Source organism: Homo sapiens, chromosome 16 (assembly GCF_000001405.40).
Source record: "Homo sapiens chromosome 16, GRCh38.p14 Primary Assembly".
Taxonomy (NCBI): domain Eukaryota; kingdom Metazoa; phylum Chordata; class Mammalia; order Primates; family Hominidae; genus Homo; species Homo sapiens.
The window spans coordinates 59,944,170-59,972,109 of record NC_000016.10 but is presented as its reverse complement, the minus strand read 5'-3'; the positions used below and the strand labels follow the sequence as shown (position 1 = coordinate 59,972,109).

The following is a 27,940-nucleotide window of genomic DNA, read 5'->3' as shown; positions in this document are numbered from 1 at the left end:
TTTATTTCATTTGCCGAATACCTAATTTATTATTCCAGTTCTGGGATTGCAAAATAACAATACAAAATGTCCTAAATATTTAGGACACCTTGTTAACCTTTTGTTCTTACCCACCCCAGGACTCATCTCATTATCATTAATATATACATACACATATATATCAAATATATATAAAATGATATTAAAAATAAGGTTCCCATCGTTTATTGTGAGTTGGTGGAGTAATCAGGTATTCAGGTATACGTTTTCATCTCATTTATATTTAACAGAATTTTATTCTTCCTAATTGTCCATTGAGTGTGACTCAAACTTTGGTCAATTTATTGATGGATTCCTTCATTAACACATTCACTCATTTAAAAGTAACTTCTGATTGTCTTCTACATTCTAGGAATGTGATTGAATTGTACATTCTATACAGTCTTTGGTAGCACAGAATATCCTACTTTAAATAAATAACCTTCTTTACTGCTTAATGAAGAATAATGAACTATGCACGTCATTATGGGATGAAGAACAGGTACCAAGAGAACAGGTGGAAAGAGCATTTGGTTGTGACCTCCCGTTTCAGGGAAAGGTTCTTTGAAGAAGTGGCATATTGCTAAGAACTTGAGTAACTGGCAGGAAACAGTAAACAGAGCCATGGAAAAAGGATATTAGTCATTCCTATGGAAGGGACTGGGTGGGTGCCTTACACAAATGATATGTTGTATAGAGGAAGAGAATGATAAAAAATATAAAGGAAAGATCTCATTTAACCTTGCTTTTTAAACTATGCCTCCTCTAGGAAAAGACAAGGAGGACATGCAGGGACCGAAATGTTGAAACAAAGACAAGAAATTCCTGTAACCAGCTAAGAAGGCAAAAATTAAGCAAAACAAACAAAAGCAAATGTTTTTGGTGAATTTCAGAGCTAGGATTGCAAAACTTTCAGCAAGATCATTTGCTAATTTCTGGTGCTGATGACCATGGGCACAACACCTTCTTCTAAAACGCCTGAGGCTGGACTAGAAAAATTTTATTTGTTTGTTTGTTTTTCTTTCACGCCCAAAAATGAACTAGTATTGGCACTGTCCTTTAAGGGTACTTATAATTTATAAAGCAAAGAATATTAGCATATCTATTGTCATAATATTCCTACCAGCAGTTTTCTTAAAGCCAGAAACATACCGAGTCCTTCAGATAGCATCAGTACAATGTCAACATTTCTAGGGCAGTTAAGCTACTCTGTGTTAACATAATTTTTATTTTGGAGGAACTTTGAGAAAACTATTGGATGAAGAAACATGCTTACCTTTGTAAATGAGCATGATTATCCATAAAATGGTGTATATTGTGCCAAATTGTTAGCTCGTTATTTATTTGGTTGCAGATGTACACAAGAAACATTGGGGTTGTCAACAGAAGACTATGCATGGGGGAAAAAAGATAAATAAAAAACATTACTTTGTCATATTAAAGTATAAAACTTAGGCAGTGGGAACTAATTTTATTGTTCTCTATTATTCTGACTGTAATATTAACGCAGAGAGCAACTAACTTGGCACAACATTTTTCTATAAAAATAGTCATTCATACATTATCAAGTGAAGTAGCTCTTAGGAAGAACTTGCTTCATACTGATCGTTATTTAATTAGATAAACTTCTTCACAATAGTTGTATTTTAAATAGGGATTTTCTTTTAAGTTGCCCATACCAATCCATAACTTAGTTATTTCTGTGTTCACAGATCTTCACATTTTTTTGCATTCTGCTGTAATATAAAAATGTATATGATTCAGGATATTTCTTTTCTTCTTTTTTCTTTCTTTTTTCTTTAATTAGGGAGTAAAGACAGAATTTCTCACTGTAGCAAGATGGCAGACTAAGAAATATTTAACACTATCACTGTAAGTATGTTAAAATACTGGATAAACTATTTGAAAAGCATTTATAATAAATAGCTAAGCTTATGAGAAAAAAGAGAGCCCCCAAGTTGATAGAAACAAAGAGGTAACTAAAAACAAGAGCTGGAATATGTGTTTATTTCAAGCTGCGTGTGTGTGTGTGTGTGTGTGTGTGTGTGCATGTCTGTGTGTCCAGTGGGGAGACAGACACAGAAGCTGGATGTAGTTGGTGTTGCTATTCCACTGGCTTGGGATTTCAGGTCAAATCAGACACCTCTCAAAAGAAGACATCCATGCAACCAACAAACATATGAAAAAAAGGTCAACATCAGTAATCATTAGAGAAATGCAAATCAAAACCACAATGAGATAGCATCTCACACCAGTAAGAATGGTGATTATTAAAAAGCCAAGAAACAACAGATGCTGGCGAGGTTGTGGAGAAAAAGGAACTCTTCCATACTGTTGGTGAGAATGTAAATTAGTTCAACCATTATGGAAAACAGTGTGGCAATTCCTCAAGGATCTAGAACCAGAAATACCATTTGACCATTTGGGTATATACCCAAAGGAATATAAATCATTCTATTATAAAGATACATGCATGCATATGTTTACTGCAGCATCATTCATAATAGCAAAGACATGGAGTCAACCCAAATACCCACTAACATTAGATTGGATAAAGAAAACGTGGAACATATGCACCATGGAATACTATGCAGCCATAAAAAGGAATGAGATCATGTCCTTTGCAGGGACATAAATAGAGCTGGAGGCCATTATTTTCAGCAAACTAATGCAGGAACTGAAAACCAAACAGCACATATTCTCACTTATAAGTGGGAGCTGAACGATGAGAACACATGGACACATAGTGGGGAACAACACACACTGGGGCCTGTTGGGGTTGGGGCGGGAGATGGGGAGAGCATTGGGAAGAATTCCTGAAGGATGCTGGCTTAATACCTAGGTGATAGGATGATCTGTGCAGCAAGCCACCATGGAACATGTTTACCAGTGTAACAAACCTGCACATCCTGCACATGTACCTCTGAACTTAAAATAAAAGTTGATACTATTTTTTTAAAAATTGAAAATTAAAAAAATTAAAAAATAGGCTGGGCATTGTGGCACACACCTGTAATCTCAGCTGCTCAGGAGGCTGAGGCAAGAGAATCACTTGACCTGGGAGACAGAGGTTGCAGTAAACTGAGGTTTGTGCCACTGCACTCCAGGCTGGGTGACAGAGTGAGACTCAAACTAAAAAAAAAAGGACAAAAACAAACAAACAAAAAAACATGCCTTGAGTAAGAAAGAAATGAAGAAACAAAGAAACAAGACATCATAAAAGAAACCAGCAAAATATGAAAAAGAGCAAAATAGGCCTCTGGAAAGGAATATATCTCTGTAGTACATACCACATGAAAACCTGATTACATAAGTTTATCAACATATTTGACATTAAAGAAATAATTACTGGTTTATAAGATTATTAGGAAGACTTAAGAATTCAGCAGAGAGAGATGGGTAATATCTGAAACAGGTTAAAAGACATTGAGGATCAGATGGCAAATTTCAACATGTACACATATAATTAGAATTCCAGAAGGAGGTAAGAGAAAGAAGGGGGAATAAGCCGTAGTAGAAGTAATTGTGGGGAGTTAGAGATGGCTATAAATTATTTGATCATAGGGTGGGAGCCCACTTGATATAGCTTGAATGTTGTCTCCTCTAAATCTCATGTGGAAATGTAATCCCCAATGTTGGAGATGGGGCCTGGTGGGGGGTGATTAGGTCATGGGGGCAGATTTCTGATGAATGGTTTAGCGCCATCCCCTTGGTGCTGTCCTTGTGATAATGAGTGACTTCTTGTGACATCTGGCTGTTTAATGTGTATGGCATCTTTGTACTTGCTCTCTTGCCTCTGCTTTCACCATGTGACATGTCTGCTTCCACTTTACCTTCCACCAGGTTCCCTGAAGCCTCCTCAGAAGCCGAGCAAATGCCAGTGCCACGCTTGTACAGCCTGCAGAACTGTCAGCTAATTCAACCTCTTTCTTTTTTAACTACCCAGTCTCAGGTATTCGTTTATAGCCACGCAAAAATGGCCTAAAACATCCTTTTCCCTCCTACTGAATCTGGATAAACCTATGACTGTTTTGACCAACAGAATACAGTAAGTTTTGGACTTAGACTTTAAGATGACTTGCTACTTCCTCTTACTGGCTCAGAGTTCTGGGCGGCCATGTAAGAAATTCTAGTGCCTTGCTGTAGAAACAATATCTCAAGTAGGAACCTTTAGGTTGGAATCTTCAGATTATATGGAGCTAAGCCTAGCTTTCCAATCACCTCTGCCAAAGCCCCAGCCTGTTTGGACCCTGCAGATGAGACCCATCACCAGCTGAATACCACTGAGTAAACTCTCAATGCGACAGGGAGCAGAAATATCCAGCTGAGCTTTGCATGAATTATGAAGCTTAAAATCATGAGGTATAATTAATGTTTGTGGCTTAAAGCCATTAAATTTTGAGGAAGAAGCTAGGAAGCAATAGATATCTAAAAAAAGAGTCTGAGAATTTTGCAGAATGAACAAAATATGAATCCTTAAAGAATCAAATAAAGGCTCAATAAAGAGAATAAAAGTTATCCCTACTGGGACATACTGTTGCGAACTGCAGAACAAAAGAGGAAAATGAAATCAAGAATGAAGCAAAAGAGGAAGAATAGATTACACACAAATAAACAATTTTAATAATTAATGTACATTCCTTTAACACCAATAAAAGACTAGAATGTAATGGATTAATATTTTCCAGGCAATAAGGGAAACTGCCAACCTAGAATTCTAAAGCCTGCCAAATCATCATTCAAGATTAAGAGCAAAATCAAGACAACTTTGGTCCTAAAAGATTGAAAAATTTATTACTAACAAAGCATCTCTGAATGAACTTCTAAAGGACGTATTTCAGTACGAAGGAAACTAAACTCAGAAGGAAGATGTGTGAAACAATGAGTAAAAACAAATAGCACTCTGTAACCATAAGAAAAACTCAAACAAAAAAGCGACTTAGGCAAAAGTAAATATCTTTTTATATAAATTCCCAAGGTTCTTCATTAGCAGGTGAGAATTTATGCATGATAATTATTAGTACTATCATTATTTCCTGATAGTTTGTGCATGACAGAAATCATACCTTATCTCATTTAAACCGATGAAATATGTATTAATGTTTCCACATAACGAGGAAAAAATGGGGATTAAAGAACGAATCAGAATTTGAACAGCTAGTGAGTTGTGGAGATGTAGTTTGGAAACAGTGATTGCAAAGATAATGACCAGCTCCTCTAAACTATATAGTCTCCTGTGTATTCTTTCAGAATTTATTTTGCTTGAATCTCTTACTTTTAAGGAACTTACACATCTTGTATATATCCATTTCTCTTTTCTAACTCCCGATACACTCACCTTCTCCTTTTCCATCAAACACCATTGATATCAAATGAAAGCCTGTTTACTCTGAAGACAGAGAATTATCAAAACAAGTTTCCCATGACAAAAACGTCTATGAAAATGCCAAATTATGTATCACCTTGCAAAATAATCATCTTTGTGAAGGATAATTATCTGGCTCTGAAGGACAGAGATGGTAGCTCTTGCGTATTTAGCAGGGGAGGTATTGCTACTCTTATTTTAAAACAGAGAAAAATTAAACTCAGGCTATGTGATCAGTCCAAAATCACACAACTATTTAAAAATAGAGAAAAATTCAAAGTAATGTATTGTGTGTGTCTCTGAAGATGAAGCATATTCTATCACCCATGTTGACTCTCACAGTTTGGGAAAGTCTGTCATGTGTCTGGCATTGGAATTTGGGACTATAAACAACTTTTGTCATAAGTCTTTTCCAATATTATACACTCAAGTGCAAACAATTCCAAATGGCACTCACCAACATTTATTTATTGATTATCTATAATTTTTTGCTCATTGGATTATTACTTTAGATGGGTGCTATAATTAGGCACATCTCTGGAATGTGGACAAGACATGACTGGTATAAAAATCAAAATAAAGGTGTGAAAGAAGTGAGGGTAAAGTTTTTGGGGATGTTCGGGCTACACACATCCGTCAGCTACTTTTTCAAAAGGAACAGTGGAGAATCTGACTGTAAAAAGTAAAATAGAGGTTCTTCTTCAAAGACTTTCCTCCCTGTCTAATTAGGAATAAGTAATAACTTCTCTTAAAAGCAAAAGGTATTCGAAGACCTGTGCTAACATTCTTAAATATCTGCTAGCCATAACAGAGAAATCAATGTACTTTAAGTTCTTAGCTTATCCACAATTGAGCTTAAATATTTGCCCTGGCATGCTTATACTGGTCCAAGCAAGCATTGGGTCATAGCCTGTTCCTTTTCCTTATTTAAAAGTGTTTTTACTCTTCTCAGCATTCCGCAAGTTACTTCCTCCTTCCTTTGTTCTTGTCTACCTTTGCCTCTTTTAAAAAGTTCTAAGTTGCTCGCCAATTGGGATAAACACAGAATGTGAGGTTCCGTTCCAGCCAGTAGAAACCGGAAACAGCAGTAGGGTGGATGCATCAGGTTATAAATGACCCTGTCTCCTTTGTTCGGTGTACTCTCGTGGCAAAACTGCTGGCGAGTGTACCCGTTCTGCAGGAAGTAAAAATGGCCTTACTAAATAAATTTATGTTCAAGTGCTATTTCTTTATGGCACCGGAGAACAAGCATTTCAAACATGACTAAACTAATAAGTTAATTATCGTAGAGATATTCTTAAGGGAGGCAATGTGTAGTAAGAGGAGAAATTCTAAACCTGGAACTAGGAAAAAGGGGTTTAAATCTAACAGACTCTTCTACTTGCTGCTTCATTGGCCATTTTGACCTTTACTTTTTTGGACAGTAATGTATAAAGTGACACATCTAACATTTGTGTGAGTGTTGGAAGACAGTAGGGGATACGAGACAATGAAGATGAAAACACCTTGCATAGTACTTAGCACAACAAAGTTCTTTAAAATATCATGTGATTGTTTATTGACTGAGAGTTCATTATGTTGTTTGACAAAAGAAGCTAGTACAGAGATTAAATGTGAGCATTAAAAGCCTATTTTAAGAATGGGTATTTTCCTCTCATAAAAAAAAAGAAAAATGTTCTTATTTAATGTTTTCATAGTGTTTTCTCTATTAATTTTAATTAGGTTCTATTAAATATTCAAGGATTTTTTTAATGATAACCAGACTTACTACTGAGCTATATCGTTAATTGTACACTAAATTTTTGCTTGTTGGATTTGTGTGTAAGCGTGTGTGTAATTTAGTGTCATTTAAATGTGTTCCTGACGTGGAATCCCATGACATACCCTCAAAAATGACACTACATGCTGTATGTATTGTACACAGAGTACAGGCATTTCTCTCAGTGGGGACTTTGTCCTGGATAGTGTAATTATAGTAAGAGCAAAAAGTTGCATGAGTCATCAGTCTGGTACCATATTTTAGTGGTCACCATAAGCTAGAAATTTAATTCTGGCCATAGAAGTAAAACTCATCTGCCCAGACAACTAACAAATACTTTTCTCTAATGATAATTTGTAAATTGCTTCCTTATGAATCCACTGATATAATCCTTCAAAGTAGAAAAGTATCTCATGAAAGAGATTTAAGTTTGAAAATGATTTATGGAGACTGAGATCTAAATTATCATGCCATACATTGAGACGGTGACAATAGCTGTACCTTAAGACTGTGGCAGGCCGGCACAAGTGGCTCACTCCTGTAATCCTAGCACTTTGGGAGGCCAAGGAAGGTGAGTCACCTGAGGTCAGGAGTTCATGACTAGCCTGGCCAACATGGTGAAACCCCATCTCTACTAAAAATACAAAAGTTAGCTGGGCGTGGTGGCACATGCCTGTAATCCCAACTACTTGGGAGGCTGAGGCAGGAGAGTCACTTGAACCTGGGAGGCGGAGGTTGCAGTGAGCTGAGATCGCGCCACTGCACTCCAGCCTTCCAGCCTGGGTGACAGAGCGAGACTCCATCTTAAAAACAACAACAACAACAACAAAACCCAAAACAAACAAAAAACCCACTGTGGCAAAGAGTTGGGTTTAAAAAAGTGTTCTTAATGAATTTCTTATTCATCAGTTTTTCTTTCATTTGTGAATTTTCCACACTGGATTTGAGTATCAAAAAAGGAGTCCTGAAGGAAGGGATAAGTAGGCTTTAGCAGAAAGAGAGAGAGAGAGAGAGAGAGAGAGAGAGAGAAAGAGAGATGGAATAAATATTTCTAATGCCCACAAAAGGAAGTAGTTGGAAATGGTCTATCAGCTTGAAATTTCAGCAACTGTAAAAGTAATTTAGAACTGGATAGTAGCTGAAAGTAAGATCAGAGAGCTGTGCAGTGATATATCATGGAAGGACTTCTGTGCTAAATTAAGAAGTTTGAAATTTATTCTGAAAATTATAAAGAGCCATTGATCAAAATTGATGCATTAGTTTCCTATTGCTGCTGTGAAAATCTATCACAGATTTAGTGGCTTAATACAACACAAATTTATTATCTTGTGCTTCTGAATTTTCAAAGTCCAAAATAGTTTCACTGGTATAAAGTCAAAGTGTTATCTTAGCTGGTTCCTTCTGGAGACTCTGAGAGGAGAATCTATATTCTTGCCTTTTATCGTTTCCGTAAGCCACCTGCATTTTTAAGCTCACTGCCCCTTCCGCTCATCACCCCTACCTCTTGCTTCCATCATCCCATCTCCTGCTAGTGATTCTCTTCCTCCTGTTTCACTGTTATAAAGACCTCGTGATCACGTTGGACCCACCTGAATAATTTAGGATAATCTTCCCAAATCAAGATCTTCAACTTAAGTACAATAGCAAAGTCCTTTTAACCATATAAGGTAATGTATTAATAAGTTTCAGGAATTAGGACATGGACATCTTCTGGAGGCTATTATTTTTAACTTATTACAAACTATATGTAGAGATATGACATGAAAAGTTTTATATTTTAGAAAGAGCTCTCTGACACAATGGGAGTTAGTTTGAAGAAGTATCAGCCTCGTACAAGGGGAGGAGAGCTTTTTCTTGTTCTTTTTAAAAAAGCAATTGTTGGGCTCCTGTTGAAAAATGGCTTATTCCAAGTCTAATGATGTGCAACCTTAAATCTAAGACTACTGCTCCCCATTTCTTTAACAGAACAAACACCCCTATAATGAACAGCAAAAAACATCTGTAGGATACCCTTCAGTGGAATCTAGAAACTAACTGGATAGGGAGAGAAGTGAGTGGTAGAGGTAAGGAAGTGTCTTCAATTACCAAATTTAAATTATCTTTACTAGAAACAGGAAATTTAGGAAATGAAGCAAGTGAGAAAGAATATAGAGTGTTCAATCAAGGACCCTATTAGATTTTGGAGCTCCTTTGTACAGATTAGGAAAAGACAGCCCCTCTGGATTGATGCAGTCCCACAGGCCCATGGCTTTGTCAACAGCCACCTCTTCATATAGAGGAACCGATGTCCCTCCCTTCCAACTGATGCAGCTCCCTTATAGGGCCTAGTAGGAGCCTGCCACAAACCACAGCCACAGCAGATAAAGGGCCTGAGCTCAGTTTTGTACATAACAGATATGAAGCACCAGGAAAATTTCACATAAAATTGTCTAAAGGGCACTTCTCAGAAGAAAAGTAAATGATCTGGATGTCAGTTTTAGAACTATCAGCAGAAAAATAATATACAAAGGTCTAGAATAGTTGAGATTGTACAGGAAGAGAGTTACATGATTTAAGAGACAGTCAAGTTGAAACATAGAATGTCCAAAATCACAGTGTCATCGCTAGCATCAGAATGGGACAATCTTTTCACAGTCTTGGCGAATAGTTAGTGCATTCAATCAGTGCTCATGACAAACCCACACATTTACCGTAGAACTATTTGTATTTTTATGAATGTTTTAATGTATTAAATGTTGAAGATAAATCATTTTTGCAGCAATAATAAAAAAGGAGTACATCTACATTATTTGCTATCAGCAAAAGGGAAGATTAGTATAGGGACATTTGAGATATATCAACCGTGGGTGAAAACAGCTAGAAAATCCCTTGGTGCACACTTAAAGTCTCTTAGAAGCCTCTGGAAAGGAAAAGAGACAGAATTGGGAAAGGGAGAAAGCAAACAATTTAATTTAAAATATTTTCCTTGATTTTTCAACCAATTTATTTTTATGTTGAATTCATTCCATGACGTGATGCACAATCCCAGTTATTTGAACCTATGTGAAACGTTTTGACAGAGGAGAATGCATTTCCTTAAGTTCCAATTGTGGAATTTAGTTATCTATTCAATATATGTATTTCATTTAACTTCAACTGATTTGAGATACCCAATTCTCCATTGGGAAGCACTTGGCTTTTCTCATAAATGTGTAATTTTCAGCTTGAAGAAACACTTGCACCTTCAGGGAGCAATATATTCTCTTTTCCCAGTAGTTCCTTATTTTATTTACCCTGTCAAGTAGCCAACAAGAATATTTTCTCATACTGTACCAGACATGAGGAGTGAACTTCAAGCATTCAGTTTGCCCAACTTTTCCAGAAGAAAATTAGAAAATAATCTCAAGCAAAGTAACTAATAGGAGTTCTTATAGAGCCATAAGCCACCTGTTTAGAATTATCAGTTAAATTAACTTCTAGAATAAAGACCAATTATTTCTTAATATAATGCATTTTGAAAGTGCATTTTGCATTTGGCATCTGTGCAAAATATTGGAAGAAAAGAGTCTGAATCTAGCAGCATACATTTGTTAATTGTTCCATTTTGCAGTAATCTAAGCATGAAAAAGTACAAGTGCCCTCTGTCTCTCTTATTGGTCATTTAGTGAGCTGCATAAAATTGAATATGGCAAGTTCTGATTCTTTGGGTTGTTGTTTGTTGAAAATGTGCATAAATGAAGCTATCAGAAATGTTCCTTTTAAATGAATATTGAATAGAAGGCAGTGGCATCTTTCCAATACGGTAATTTCTTCCTTAGTTAGAATGGCCTTAGTTAGAGGGGAAATCCTATTTCAGTGCCATTCTTTCCTCTTCTCATTTATGCCCAAAGCATATTGTATGTAGAGATATCGCATCATGGATCCAGTAATAGTTCTGCTGTAGACAATTTCCACCTGACTGCATTTCTATTACTGGGGCTAACCTTCAACTCAGGAACAGCATTCACAATTTATAGAGAATACAGGAAAAAAAAGAGGCCTTCCATATAAATCCAGAATTCTAAGTGTGTGAAGTATAAATGAATTGCATAACTAACTTTGAAAGTGAATATGAAATCCTTTTGTGTTTGATCCTTATGGGATGAATTGCTAGATTGTCACTAGCCGTGGAAGTTTTCTTGGATGTGCTCTTATTTTTCTTGTGTCATATGTTTGCAAGAAATTTCCCTGATATTTCCCCCAATGCATGGAGAATCAGATTATTTTGACGAGAAGAGGCTGAAGATTAGAAATCTAGTTAAATAAGAAGCAGTGGCAAAAACTAAAGGCTAGTTAATTTTGTTATCCTGGGTCTGGCAGACCAGAGACTGATTCAGCGAATCTGGCTCAAAGAAGCAGCATTAAAGAATACTATATTTAAGCAGACAGCATAAGGTAACGCGGAGCTGCCCATGGCAGATCTGGCTATTATTATTGGCTCTGTTAATAATGTGCTGTGTAACCTTTAACAAGTAAACTAACACATCTGTGGTCCTTTTCCTCATCTTTAAAAAGGTGATTTGAATTGTCTGATTTATAAGATTCCTTCAAACTCCAAGCTTTTCTATTTGAAAGGGGGACAGATTTAGTGAGCACATAGTAAAAATAATTTATCTGACTAGTGGGCAGACCTACTATATGTTCTCTGACTTTTTTCCTGTCCTGTCATACATGAGCAGGGCAACACTTATACATGACTGTTCTCAGCCAGAGGAAAAGAATGAAGATATTCACTAGGTTCTTTTAAATGCATAGTTTAGAAAAGTGAAGGTCTATATAAAACGTCATGTCATGACAGAAGTATAATGTAGCCTATAACCACATTGGGCTAGCTGTGGCTAAAAATTTCATCCATCCATCCTTTATTCATCCATTCACCGTTCATCTCATCCATCCATCCTTTATTCATCCATTCACCGTTCATCTCATCCATCCACCCATCTATCCATCCATCCATCCATCCATCTAACCATCCATCCTTCCATCCATCCATCCATCCATCCATCCATCCATCCATCCATCTGTCCTTCATCAATACTTGCATTCAACCGATATGTACTGCATACAAAATACATTCAGTTTTTATGTAAGTACTGAAAATACACTGGTCAACAAGACAGGCCTCTTTCTACTTCATGGAATGGTACTAAATAAACATACAATTAGTTAATTATACCTGTGAAAACTATTATTTAAGAAAATACAGAATAATAACAGTGTGTATAACCGGCAGCTTTTTCCTCTATAAGAAGCAGGACAGACATGACTAATCTCGTTATTCAAAGGAAGATGGAGATGCAAGTTGATTAAAAAGTCAAGAGTAACATTCACTTTTCAGTGTTCAACCATTTGCAAGACTGTATCATCACAACATTAACATTACTGGGTTCTGAATAACAAATCATTAAATTTAAAAAACTTCTCATGCCTGGCACGGCTTCCAAAGAGGTTTTGCGAAAGATTTTGCCCTTGTGAAGATAAACAGAACTACAGTAACCTTTAATATCAAATCAGTATTCCAAGTACACTAAGGCAATAAAGAAGAACAATAACAACTAAGTCCTGAAGGAAATAACAGATTCAGCCTTTATTTGGCAAAGAATGGCAGAGAATGGCTTGCAATTATAAAGCTATCAAGACTCCAAACCCATAAATTTAATTAAGAATGAGGACGGGTGAGTATTGAAATATTAATGAGGAGACTTTATTCTTCTTCTAATGAGATTATGCAATTATGACCCAAATATCCCTTTCTGGATTAGATTGACCAATTGTCTATCTGTTTTGTCTGGGACCTAGGGTATTTTCAGATGCAAAACTTAGTGCTAAAACCAGGAAAGTTTTGAACAAAGTGGGACAAGTTGGTTCCCTACATATCTTCTATAAAGTAACAATAATGTAAGATTCCTATGATATATGGTTCGGAACTACTTGATTTGTATTCTCTAAACACTTGGCAAGCCACGTGCTACCTACTCATTAGAAAAGGGCCTTTTAGAACCCACTACTAGGTTAATACAATTATGTTCTAAGCAGGGAGTATTTTGTCCAAAGTAGTATTAAGAACCAAACATGCATAAGCCCTAGTGAGTCTTTGCAGCCTGTATTTCCACCTTCACTGGCATCTGTACTAAATCAGCATCATTAGCAAATACCAAGACGCATCAGCTGGCTATCCTATTGCATACTTTCATTGGCACTGCAATCAGGTACCATTTGATTCTAGCTCCACTTCTTAGCCTACTCTATCCAAAGTTACTCAGCTACAAAAATATGAACACATTAGTTAACCTCTCTTAGCCTCAGTTTCCTCACCTTTAAAAAAAACTTTGCATTAAATTAATGCAGGATGGATTAAAGACTTAAATGTAAGACCTAACACCATAAAAACCCTAGAAGAAAACCTACGCAATACCATTCATGACATAGGCATGGGCAAGGACTTCATGACTAAAACACCAAAAGCAATGGCAACAAAAGCCAAAATTGACAAACGGGATCTAATTAAACTGAAGAGCTTCTGAACAGCAAAAGAAACTATCATCAGAGTGAACAGGCAACCTACAGAATGGGAGAAAATTTTTGCAATCTACCCATCTGACAAAGGGCTAATATCCAGAATCTACAAAGAACTTAAATTTACAAGAAAAAAACAAACCCATCAAAAAGTGGGCAAAGGATATGAACAGAGACTTCTCAAAAGCAGACATTTACGCAGCCAACAGACATATGAAAAAATGCTCATCATCACTGGTCATCAGAGAAATGCAAATCAAAACCACAATGAGATACCATCTCATGCCAGTTAGAATGGCAATCATTAAAACGTCAGCAAACAACTGATGCTGGAGAGGATGTGGAGAAATAGGAATGCTTTTACACTGTTGGTGGGAATGTAAATTAGTTCAAACATTATGAAAGACAGTGTGGTGATTCCTCAAGGATCTAAAACTAGAAATACCATTTGACCCAGCAATCCCATTACTGGGTATATACCCAAAGGATTATAAATCATGCTACTATAAAGACACATGCACACATATGTTTATTGCAGCACTATTCATAACAGCAAAGACTTGGAACCAACCCAAATGTCCATCAATGATAGACCAGATTAAGAAAATGTGGCACATATATACCATGGAATACTATGCAGCCATATAAAAGGATGAGTCCATGTCCTTTGCAGGGACATGGATGAAGCTGGAAACCATCATTCTAAGCAAATTATCACAAGGACAGAAAACCAAACACCGCATGTTCTCACTCATAGGCACGAGTTGAACAATAAGAACACATGGACACAGGGTGGGGAACAACACACACTGGGGCCTGTCGGGGGGTGAGGGGCTGGGGAAGGGATAGCATTAGTAGAAATACCTAATGTAAATTATGAGTTGATGGGTGCAGCAAACCAACATGGCACATGTATACCTATGTAACTAACCTGCACGTTGTGCACGTGTACCCTAGAACTTAAAGTATAATAATAATAATAAAAATACTTTGCAGTTAATTGTCACAAGTGAAACAAAGTCTCCCATGCCTTGGGTTGTATTTGATAGATAAAGATAACAGCACAAAGTTGTCAGCTAAGTCTTTTATATGCATTACATGACTATATGGACTGATTTGTTTATTTTTTCAAGCAATTCTATGAGTTATGCATTTTTATTTTTTATATGTGTATGCATATGTGTACACTCTCTCACAAACACATATATATACTTAAATGAATAATTTGCTAATTTATCCATGTAACTCATATTTATAGAGTAATGGTCCACTACCCTCTAATTACCTTTCAGAATGTGCTAACGAACAAACAATATAAGTATATTTTAAACAAGAATGACACATAAGCTTTTGTTTGTAGCCATCATGTATCAAGCACTAAAATCAACATTTTCTTCATAATAGTCACTAAGTTATGGAATATTCCTAGTTTGTTCCTTTAAGCATTTACAATTTCTGGTTTTCTCTTAAGCCTCTCAGGGTAGTTTTAGTTTCCTAGTTCCAGACTAGGAAGATATTCTTAATTTTGCTTAGTCTAAGGCAGACGGTCATCCATGGACAACAACTGAAATGACCATGCAGTTCAAGATGGCATGAAACGGAACCTAGGGATTATGTGCTCACAGGTGATGTAGGTGATGGAAGAAGGAGCCAAGGTGGGTGGATCACCTGAAGTCAGAAGTTCGAGACTAGCCTGGCCAACAAGGTGAAACCCCATTTCTACTAAAAATACAAAAAATTAGCCAGGCGTGACATGGTGGCAGGCGCCTATAATTCCCAGCTACTCAGGAGGCTGAGGCAGGAGAATCTCTTGAACCCGGGAGGCGGAGGTTTCAGTGAGCCAAGATCGCACTCCTGCACTCCAGCCTGGGTGACAGAGCAAGACTCCGTCTCAAAAACAAAAAACAAAACAAAACAAAACTAGAAGGAGAGTGTATAGATAAGTGTTGAATGTCAACATTTGAGCTTTCTCAACAGAATCAAGAGGGACGACACCTTCTAATGAGTTTACTATGGCAGTTGCCTTCAAATAAGAGGAAATATCAGAATTTCTTGCAAGGGGACAGGAAGTGTCTACTGAATCTGTGTTCTACTGCCCATTCTTGGCAGGCAAACGTTTCCTGGAAAAATAGTTACATAAACAATCTCAGAATCAGGATTCCTAGATTTTATCAGTCTTTGACCACTTACATGCGATAGTAGACATGGGGTTTTCCACATTTTTCTAGACCAGATTTCCTTCTAATAGTTTGGGTGACAAAATTGATATGCAACTACATGACGTATTTCTCACACCAACTTACCCAGGGGAATTAATATTTTTCAAATAAGAGGAATGATAGCTCAATTTTGCTCTTTGTTGGTAAGAATCCACCAGCTATGATATGCACCATCTGACAACCATATGGTAGTAGAGATATTGAAAACAATAACATTTCCAGGAGAATGACCAGAACGATTCAGAAAAACCAAGCATTTGAGGATTTGGAGGAGAAAATAATACTGTTGGGATTTGAATGAGACAAGTGAGGTGGGCACACGCTAGATATAATTTATGAGATATTTGAAAATCGTCACTATCTATTTACTAGTTCTTTAACTTTCTTCTAAAAGACAAAACCAGTCATTAGAAGATAAAATAAAATTACCTCCCCAAATTTTCAAATGTGTTCAAAACTAGAACAGCATATCTTATGTACAAATGAGTTTCTATTATGTGAACACTTCAAGCAAGAATGTCACGTGAAGTATTTCCAAATATTGTTTGTACTATGTCTGTGGTTTATACTTACATTTACAAGGTGAGTAGATCCAGGTTAAGTTAAATGGTGCTCCTTAAAATATAATAATATATTATTGAATGTTATTGGAAAACACTGGGTTAAATTCAGGTGGACTTTTTTATTGCAGGACTTATCAGAACACTTCAGATAATATTGTACATCTCCAAGCAATGAGTGGAAAGAGAGGGATATGAATAAAAATAATCTCAAAATTCATAGATCTGAGATCCCAAGATATTTTTTGCCTTCTCATTAACCTTGCTCAAAATAATTTTTTAAAAATGTGTTGCTTTGCAATGTAGAATATTAAAGAATAAAAATAAATACAAATAAGTTCTAGATAAGTCATGGGGTTACCCATTCATGTAACTGAAGGCTGCTATGAATAATCCTTTTCTACTATCAGTGAGTCAGTTGACATGGACCAGTCCCTGACCTGTTTGCTCTCAGATCTAATTCCTTACCCTTTGTCCATTCTGCTCTGGGTGACAGGAAAGCTGTTCTCTGAAGGTTCTCAGATTAGCTAACTTCTGGGTAGGTTAAGCCAACAGAAGAGGTTGGTGAGAAACTGGAAGACAGGAGAAATAGGAAATCCAAATGTATTCATCTTCTTTCTCTGCCTCAGCCTGGATCTGGAGAGCATCAAAATTACATTCGTGGTTCTAGCTGCCTTCAAACTATGGTTCTAGCCCTTGGAATCTGGTAATTCTGCCCCTCCCTTGGTACCTCCTGCCTAGGGTGGTAAAGGCTTTTGTCAGTCTCTGAGTTGCACCAATCTTCTCGTGGCTTCTTAGCAATTCTATCACCCATGTAATAAATTTTCCCATTGTTGTATCCCCTTGACTTACATACTTTTTTTTTTTCTTTTTTTGAGACAGAGTCTTGCTCTGTTACCCAGGCTAGAGTGCAATGGCACGATCTCAGCTCACTGCAACCTCTGCCTCTGGGTTCAAGGGATTCTCCCGCCTCAGCCTCCTGAGTAGCTGGCACCTGCCATCATGCCTAGCTAATTTTTGTATTTTTGTAGAGACGGGGTTTCATCATGTTGGCCAGGCTGGTCTTGAACTCCTGACCTCCTGACCTCAGGTGCTCCACCCGCCTCGGCCTCCCAAACTGCTGGGATTACAGGCGTGAGCCACTGCACCCATCCTACATGCTTTTTATGGTTTCTGTTTCCCTGAATAGATCCTGACAAAAATAAGGATCTACATTTAAGATGCATAATTTTTTATATTAATGCATTATTTTTCTCAGAGAATCCCAGAGATGAAAAGGACCTTAGAGATTGCTGAGCCAAACGGCCAGACTCCAATGTGTGGTGGGGAAGGGGAGAGTTCCAAATGGGTAGGGTTGTGAAACTCCTACCCTTGCTTCTGCAAAATCACTGTAAATATGTACTGGTTTTGTTCAGACAAAAAGTATTCCATAGATATATTTGCTTTCCCAATATTACAGAAAAATCTCAGATAAGGATTAACTTTTAGTACAATTCACTTTCTACTACATTCTTTCAGATTCAGCAATCTTTTATTAAACAGATCCAGCTCTTTTATTTTCTCCCCAAGCATTGTAAGGGACATCACCCACATTGTTTTGCTTTATCTTCTCATCAACCCTTTGAAGGTGGAAGCAGTATTCAGAAATTGACGTATGAAGTGGCTTGCCTACATCTACACAGTAAATAAGCATCCAAAACCAGATTTAAACCCCAAATTAAGCTCTTTCCACAACAAGGTCCTGCTTTCCTTGATGATTAAATCCTTATCTGATCTTAAAGTTGCAAGAAGAGTTTTAGGAAGTAAAATGATGAATTTAATTGTGGAGATGTCAAATAGAAAGCAGGTGAATGTGCCTTTTAGCAAGACTTTAATTAATCTGATGTCTGATCTACCCTGATACAGTAACTTTTGCCAACTTTGTTGTTTTGGTTCAAAAAGTGTCTTATAAAATATCCATTCCCTAAGCACAGGATGGATACTAGCACCAATAAACTTTCCTCTTGCCTACTACTTAGAATATGCTTTGCTCACAAATCATTCCATCCAAGTCTCACAATAAATATTAATATTATAGCCATCACCATCATCCTCTCCAAAATAAGTCAGTGTGCAAACTTTGTTTCACGAGGGAAAGGAGAGACAAAAATCTTTAACAGACTCACATATGGAAGGGAAAAACCAATTAAAGATTATCTCTGAACCAGGAATGCCAATATGAGATGAGGTGCATAACTAATCAGCCCAAGACATACAACAGGTGAAGTGATGAAAATATGATTGTGAGAAACGCAACAACGGTCTGATGTGCATAATTCATTTTTCCCATGGAGCCTCTGCCCATCTGCTGTGGCTCAATTGAATATCAGAAAATGGAAAGAGGCCATCACTCATTAACTCGCCAAACTCCTTCAGGGCCCAGCGTCTCCTCCATTTTGTTTTTGTTCTTGTACCAAAGACTTAGAAACCACTAATATTACTCTATGGGTTTCTGAACTTTTCAGGCTAGAACCTCATCAGCTTCTCTTCTAAAGGGAGCAGAGGTGTGGAGTGCTTTATACACAAAGCAAAGAGAGTTTAACATTTGTTAAAGCTCTGAAGAGCTGCCTTCTTCTCTGCTATGATGGATTAAAATCATGAAAACAGGAGCCTTAATCCTATTGTCCTTGGAAATAATCCTCTCAGGCTTTATTTTTCCTATACCTGCCTAGACTCATGCAGGTTTCAACAGTGTTTCCATTTGGCCTTTCTAGTCGTTGCTCAAAAGAATTTCTGAACTTTCAGGCACACATGGAATGAGTAGATGCTTTCAATCTACTTCTTTATAATATATGGGACCTTTTTAAAAAAGTATTTATCAAATGATGCTTTGTATTGAGATGTCCTTAGTTAATTACCTATTTGTATTTTAGGAGCAGTGTGTATTTCTCTCATTCAGCCATGTATTCACTTAATGACTACATAATGAATGCCTTCTGTGCCAAGGTAGGTATTAGGGGTTCAGTAAACGCTAAAACCCAGTTCCTTTCTTTTATTTATTTATTTTTTTTGAGACGGTGTCTCGCTCTGTTGCCCAGGCTGGAGTGCAGTGGCACGATATCCGCTCACTGCAAGCTCCGCCTCCCGGGTTCACGCCATTGTCCTGCCTCAGCCTCCTGAGTAGCTGGAACTACAGGCACCTGCCACCACGCCCGGCTAATTTTTTTTTTTTTTTTTTTGCTTTTTTAGTAGCGACAGGGTTTCACCTTGTTAGCCAGGATGGTCTCGATCTCCTGACCTCGTGATCTGCCTGCTTCGGCCTCCCAAAGTGCTGGGATTACAGGCGTGAGCCACCACGCCCAGCCCCCAGTTCCTTTCTTTAATGAGCTCAAGACCTGTTTGTTGCCTGTTATTTATAGTAATGCCATAACAAGAATGTACATTATTTTCCCTCTCGGATGTCCTCTCCAAATCCCTGAGTCCTGTTCCCATTCTTCAAGCTCTGTGTAAACTCCCTGAGAACGGTGACTGTGTCTGATTTTACTCATGAGTTATCTCTAGTCCAAATAGTGCCTGTCACAAAATAGGCATTCAGTAAATATTTGAATAACTTTATTCATTTATTGGAAAAAAATACGCTTTATGAAGCCAAATGGCATCTACTTCTTGGGACTCTGCTTTACTTTGACAAACCATTGGTATTAAATGCTTCTCAGAATGCATAATTAATATTTATCTATATTTACTTATTCATTTATTGACACAGGGTCTCACCCTCTAACCCAGGCTCACTGCAGCCTCGAACTCCTAGGCTCAAGTGATCCTCCCACCTCTGCCTCTCGAGTAGCTGGGACCACAGGTGTGCACCACCCCCTTAGCTAATTTTTATTTTTTATGTTTAAAAAAATTTTGTAGTCATGGGGTCTCCTTATGTTGTCCAGGCTGGTCTCAAACTCCTGGGCTCAAGTGATTCTCCCACCTCAGCTTCCCAAAATGTTGGGGTTAGAAGTGTGAGCCATGGCTCCCTGCCTATGTTTAGAAACCAGCTGGTGTTATAAAATGTGCACTGTTTGAGGGCAGGGACACATCTTAAACATATTGGTAATTCCTTTATTCTTAAGTGCATTGTTAATGCTCCCTGCTTTTTTTATTGTTGTTTGATGGATTTTCTGTCTGGCCAGTGGAAAAGCAAACATCATTGTCTAATAGAATTATGAATAAAATGCCTTCTTAGCAACAATTTTTCTTTTGCTAAAAATCTAAGAGAATACAAGAATACTTAAGAATGTTAATAAGAATTTATAATTTATATTATATTCTTATTAAATACTACATTTAATAAGAATATTTAAATATCAACATTGTCCTGTGAGTTTTATAAATCTGTATAGAAACATTTTGATTGTGACATTACCCTTTTAATGGGTTATTAACGATTAAGAATTCTGTATCCATTGGATTATTCATCAGTGGACTCATTTTCCAAGTTTTCCCTATTAGAAATATCAGAATACGCATGATTGTTTTATTTTTTCTCCATTGTCACTATGATCAATCTATTTTTAAAAAATTAAAATTCAAATCAATTTTTGTCCTCAAAAGAAAAAAAATATGAAAGAATGAAAGGGTGTGAGAGAATAGCTTTGGATAAAAAAATTGGTACTGCATTTTGTGGATATGCATACCTTGAAATATAAAACCTACTTCTTTTCCTTGGGGACTCTTCCTTAAATCCAAGAGGGTTGGCCAGAGTGCACAACCTTTGGTTCCAACAGGATAGTAGCCAAATGTCATGGTTTACCTATAGTTTCCAAAAGCAGATTAGAAATATAAAGACCTTAGGAGCTGCTAGTGGAATGCGAAAATTATGTAGCTTCGAGGATTATATTTAAAAATGTCTACCAAGATTCTTAAGAATGTTAGCTCATCTGAAATTGGAAGGCTGTGAGTTCTGCTTTCCTGCCAGAAATCTTAATAAACTGAAACCATTGGCATGGCCCACAAATAATAAACAAGATTAGCAGAAGTTACACATCCTACTCATTATGGTTTTGTTGAAGAGTCACTCAATTGAGAGAACAATATTACAGGAGTTATTTACACTGATGTGAATCATTTGGTCCATAAACAAATGAGTAATGACTGTTAGTCCAGGAGATTAAAAACTAAGCAGATGTTTCACAAGAATAAAATTAGTCTGGGGGAGGAAACAAAAATAAATTCATGTTCAACATTGGCTTGCAGAGTTGAATGGTGTTAGAGAACTTGTGTTTGTTGCATGGGACAAGGGAGCAATTTTGCCATTTTGCTCAGGGTCCTTGATAAAGAAGTTTCAAAGGTCTTTTTTGAAAGATCATTTTTTAAACAAGGAAGTAGCTACTGAGAAAACAGGTCCTCAAGCAACTCACCACCAACTACCCCCTTTGGAAAAGGCTGCCCAGCATCTTTTGGATGGATTGAAATTTATGGATTGGTGGTGTATTTTATTGGGCTCCATGCAAATTATTGATCCATGAACCCAAGACAGTAGGTAATGCTATATCCTATAACCCTTTTATGCTACCCATCGATAAATTAGAAACTTTCCTCAGGATTTTGGAGAAAGATGAACAATAGGAAAGTGAAGTCAAGAAAAGAAGAGACTCTTCCAATGGAACAGATCAAGAGAATTACTCTGACACAATGTGGTTAGAGTAGACGATTCATAAGGGCCCTAAAGTTGGTGATTGTGTTTCAAAAAATCATGAATTGATTGTCTACAATAAGCATTGCATTAAACTAAATACTGATAATGCAGAGATTCACTCCCTTTCACCAAGGAATTTACTGTCTTATTGAAAGTACTTCACAGCTTTGTAATGAGATGTTCTGATTCTGCATCTCTGGGCTTCCAAGACCGACTCTTACTTAGAACCCTGTTAAGTGTTAGTCACTTAGTTCAAGATTATTACTGATGCTGAAATGAGGTGAGGATGTGGATTTACATTGTCAAAGCAGCTGATGCTTAATTTTGGAATTTCACATGCTTTTTTTTTTTTTTTTACAGGAATATAACTACTCATTTATTAACACCAAGTCCTGAAGATATGGCATTCTTTTACTCAATTTTCATGATCATCACATACCTTAGTGAAAAATTAAAATCATGATGTTTCAGTTAAGGAATCTAAGATGCTGTGCTTAACAAAATTGCTGAAGTTACCACAAATGTAAGTAAAAGACCAGGATTAAACAATCCAGGTAGGTTTGAGTCCAATCCAGTGTTTTTTCCACAGTTTCAATGTTAGAGTATTTCAAGGTGATCAAGGTATGACTCAAATGGGGAGCTTTTAAAATTATACATACTTAAACTGCATCCTTGTGATACTCTTATACTATTATTAAAATATACTTCATTTCGGCCAGGCACGATGGCTCATGCCTGTAATTCCAGCACTTTTGGAGGCCGAGGCAGGTGGATCACATGGTCAGGAGTTCAAGACCAGCCTGGCCAAGATGGTGAAACCCCGTCTCTACTAAAAATACAAAAAATACAAAATAAAATATACCTCTTTTTTAAAAAAGCAAGCATTTAAAAATAATTTACTCTTTATTAAAGGTGTACTGGCTTGGTGTTGTACAGGTTTTAGATTTCTTAACCTAGGCACACTATTTGAAAATTATCCAACTATGCAAACTAGAATATTCATTGCAATGTCCCAATTAAGAATATAACATTCTTCTCAACGTAATTTAAATAAGCCTTTTAGTTAAGCTCTAAAACTGCATGAATATTGGAAAATTTTGAATGCATTTGCTAATATGCTGATTACATAATCAATGATACTGATCATGTAGTAGGATAAATTGCCATTGACTTTGAACTGCCTTCAAATTCCCCAAACATAAATTACCATACATTTTTAATTTGAACTAACTTTGTTTCTGGAAAAAGCATCAGAGACTACCATTTTGTCTATGTAGTTATTTGTAATTCATTGACAATTAGTGTTCTTAATATATTAGATGAAATCTTTCAGCTGAACATTTTCCTGCAAAAAAATATCTAGGACAGACTTCCGCTTTCCCCACTACACATTTTGTGCTTATTCCACACCCGATAATCTCCCCTCCACCCCATTCCTCACATTTTCTGTCCTAATAAGTTCTGTCTTGTGTGTGTTCAAACAACACATCCTAAAAATTTATTGCCTGCCAGTGCTGGTTCTGGTATATAATCTGTGACTAATATATTCTTATAGACAGAAAAGAAGAAAAAATAAGGAAAATATAATATTAATTATACTAATGCTAATGGTAACAATAATAGCAGCTAACATTTATTTATACTTACTTTATTAACAGCTTTATAACAGTCATACTGTCAAGGACCTCCAGCTAAAACCACCAAGTAAATATCTATGGTTCAACAAGTTGTATTTATTACTCACAGCAAAAGACATGGTGTGTGGTTTCTCACACCACGAGGAGCCATGAAATATCTCAGTAATAACCTGTTAAGAGGGATTTATGATAGGATTTGTGCTTTGGTTGGGTTGTAGCAGATCCAAAAAAGAAGGGCCTTGCTCTTTGTTAGGAATGTCAGAGAGTGGGGATGGTTCTATGCTTGAGCATTTCATCAACTCCTGTGTGTAGGGAAGGTCAAATAGAGGGAGGCTAAAGCTGTAATTGGGAAGAAGAAAAAAAAAAAAAACAGCAGCAGTCAGTCACACTAGCTGGGAGATGGAGTTGTTTGGTATTTTGTGGCTTGGATAATATTCATATTTTGTCAGTTTTTAGACTTGATTATGGAGGGTCTTGTTTTCATCTTGATCCATCATGACCACAGTGTTCTTGTCTGATGTTGATATTCTATGAAATCATTTATTTTCAACACTAGAAGAGCAACTCCTAGCAGTGAGTGCTGAGACAACTTGTAGGTGATAGTAGCAGTATAGCTTCTTATGTTAGAGACTGCTTTTCTCTTTCTCAGTGCATACTGTTTCATTAACCAACAATGCAATCATTTTTATACTATTATCATCTCCATTCTACTGGTGAGATCAATGAAAGTCAGATGGGTCATGTAACTTGCCCGAGGATGCTGTGAAAATAACTGGACCCCGTATTTGAACATTAGGCTGTGTGCATCCCTGATTCCAGTGGCCACACTGAATTAAACTAAACTCTCCATAAATATACATATGAGAGAATTAATAATTTCATTCTTCCCTTTTAAGCCAAGTTATTACCGTAAGACTACAAATATTAAAAAGTGTTCTCAGTCAGCCCCAAGTAGTTAGGTGGCTGAGGTGGGAGGATGGCTTGAGCCCAGAAGTTTTCAAGGCTGCAGTGAGCTATGATCACACTACTGCATGTCAACCTAGGCAACAGAGTGAGACTATCTCTTTTTTAAAAAAGTGTTCTTGTCTAGATCCACTGATGTTGTCCAACATTTCAAATTTAGCCCTTTTTTTCCCCTCATTTCTCCTTCACAATGTTTTGGTTTATAAAGTTATTATATTAGTAGTTTTCTCTGTAGTGTTGGTAGGGATACTGATTCAAAGTATGTTATTCTCATGCCTTAAGGCCGAAATACGGAAACCATGTAAATGTTTCTAGGCAGAGCCACCCAAATCCATAAATAGGTAAAGCTTCCAACCTTAAAAAAATATGAGCAGAGAAGCTTTCTTAACTAATTCCCGCAACAACGTCTGAGGTGTTTAAGGATATAAGGGATTGGTTCACAACTCCAATCACAGCAGCTCAACACACAATATAGCTTCTCATGACTTCCTTTTATATAGGTTGGCTTTATCTTTCCATCTAGAATTCAAGCACTTTAGGAACAACTCAGAACCATGCAGCTCCAGATTCCATACCTTTAACATAAAAGAGCATTGATAGTTTCACCCAAAAGTTGACTACTTTGAATCAAAAAATAATATGTTATTTTACTTTTACAACCATATCACATTTTGACAGAATTACATCATGTGCTAAGCACATTGCAGAAAGTCTATATATTATCAGAGATAAACTACTAGTTTCACAACATGACTGCAAATTCTTTGACACTCTTCCACATGAGAAATGTGGTAAGCCCCATCCCTTGGGATTTGGACAGGCTGATGACTGCTTTAAACATTAAAATATGGCAGAAATGATACAATGTGACTTCTGAGGTTGCTTCATTAAAGACCATGTAGCTTCTTCCTTGTTTGCTGGAAAACTCATCCCTGAATCCCTGAGTCACCACATGGCAAGTCCACTGACTCCAAGATAATCCTGATTGGAGAGATGCACCAACTCTGACGAGCCCTGAACATTTGAATGAAGCTGTCCCGGGCCCTTTGGTCATTTGCCATCTTAAAACCATTGACCAACATCTGACAGCACCATGTAGACAGAAGAATCACTCAACCAAGCCCTGACTGAATTTCTAACCAACAAAATCACAGCATGCAATAAAATGGTTATTGTTTTGTTATGGTTTCATATACAGAAATAGGTCACTGGAACAAATACATTTACCTCTGAAGAAGTGACAGAGGCAAGGAGTTTCACATGGCCAGAGAAATCATTTTTTGTCTATTATTTTCTGGTTAATTAAAATAAACTTCAGTCTTTTTTGCAAATGCAGTTCACCATGAACAGGAATGTGTGTTTTTTTCCCCCCAAAGAAATACAAATGTGTGGATGTGTTCAGAGGAAAACAGGTATTCCTTTAAATTATTTTATGTAAAATATACCAACTGTTATTCATTTATTCAGTCACTCAATCAATAAACCATTCTTCACTGCAGAGAATATATTTTAATTTGGGCTTTACTAGGTGCCAGGCACTGTGCTAAGCACTAAGCCTACAATAGTGAGAAATGCACATGATTTCTCCCCAAGGATTTTGTAGTTTGGAGGAAAAATACAAACATTTGAAGAATTCTGTTATTTTCTGGGAGATACTTACAGTCATTATTTTTTAATCTGTTCAGTCATGTGTCTTAATTTCTGGGTTAAAATGTCAGCATAGAAACACATTTAAGTATCATGGATTACATCAAATAATGAACATGAGAGTGATTTTAGATAGCAAGAAGTGATGTCAGTAGTAATACCCACAATTTTCTTGATCACAAAGATATGGTTACATGATAAAAATTGAATTACCTAATGTAAAATTTACTAAGTGTTAGGTTAGTGTCAATAGGTTTCCCACATACATCCATACTTTGTTTCATAAACTTTTTGTCAAATGTGTCCAGTAATTTTTGATTTAAAAAAACTCTGAAAACCTTGTCAGTCAATTGTCACTAAATCCATACATTTTTTGTCTTTGGAACTGGAAATACGTAAATTCAAATGAAAATCATAATTGATCCCATTCTTGAAGTTCAGTTTGTAAAAAATACATTAGGAAAATATGCTTTTTGTCCTAACAAAATATAACTCTACATTTGACTACTAGTTACTAAAACTCTGTAAACCTTATAACATTACAATGATTTATCCTAAATAATCAAGATTTCTGCTGAGTGACAATAACTTTTTAAATAAGTAATGTCTCACTGTGAATGGTTAGAACATAGGGATAAATAGAAGTGTTTACAGAGCCACGAGGGGATCACAAATATAGTATGATGAATGATGAAACAAAGGTCAACTAGACTGATAAGAAGGCCAGAAGAGGCATTGAAGGAAATCCTAATGTGAATCATTCACAAATTCTATGCAGGATCATAATGTGGGACGCGTGAATTGATTTGTGGCTACATATGCTTACACACTGGTGCTGTGAACCACTATTTAAATAAATGTGCAAACTCATTCGGCATGTGGTACATAAAATGATTTCAGATAATAGCACAGCAAAATATAAAATTAAATACTATATTGAGAAAGTCATCTTCCTTTCAATAAACCTTTCACCCCTTTTGAATACATCAAAAATTTCAGAAGTTTGACCTAAACTTCTAGGACTTGCTGAATCTAACAGAGAGTAGGTTTACGGTGCAAAGCCCGCATACAAGAACATTGCCTTGTTAGAATATAATTGTATGGTTGCTTTTCCTTTGTATTTATTTTTATAACTATCTTAATTTTTTTGTGTGTCAAATGACACTGATTTTTTTTTCATTCGTAATTATAGAAAAACAGGCTTTCCAGACTGCAGAAAAACTTCTTCTGAAGACTTAATGAGACACACATAGTCACTGCCTGAGCTTTCTGCCCCTGAATAAAGATATCTTCTTATAGGGTCTGAATTAGACTTCACAATGGAATTCATCAGCAAATATTGGTGTCTACATCTTTAAAATGTGTCTGGATTCTAATCCTCACGATTTCAACCACAACCTCCATTGCCAGAGCCACCATCATCTCTCACCTCAATTATAGCAACAGCTTCTAACTGCTCTGTCAGTTTCTGCTTCTTCCCAAACATTCCATTCTCAAAACAGCAACCAAAGTGTTGCATTAAAAATATCATTGGATCAGCAGGGCACAGTGACTCACGCCTGTAATCCCAGCA

At 36.6% G+C, this 27,940-nt stretch overlaps 2 long non-coding RNA genes across 5 annotated transcripts in view; one reads left to right on the top strand and one right to left on the bottom strand.

The window, feature by feature from the left end:
• Positions 1-27,940, bottom strand: part of LINC02141 (long intergenic non-protein coding RNA 2141) — a 198,621-nt gene that overhangs the window by 81,864 nt on the left and 88,817 nt on the right. The window lies entirely within an intron of this gene.
• On the top strand, positions 443-27,940 carry LOC105371299 (uncharacterized). Of its 4 annotated transcripts, none has more exons than XR_933646.1 (6): positions 443-520; positions 1,826-1,890; positions 3,862-4,066; positions 19,368-19,440; positions 22,481-22,643; positions 27,560-27,940. It is a non-coding gene; the product is annotated as an uncharacterized LOC105371299 (long non-coding RNA). The 4 variants fall into 4 exon arrangements; XR_933644.1 differs by having other exon boundaries at positions 22,481-22,674; XR_933645.1 differs by lacking the exon at positions 27,560-27,940 and adding an exon at positions 23,779-23,824.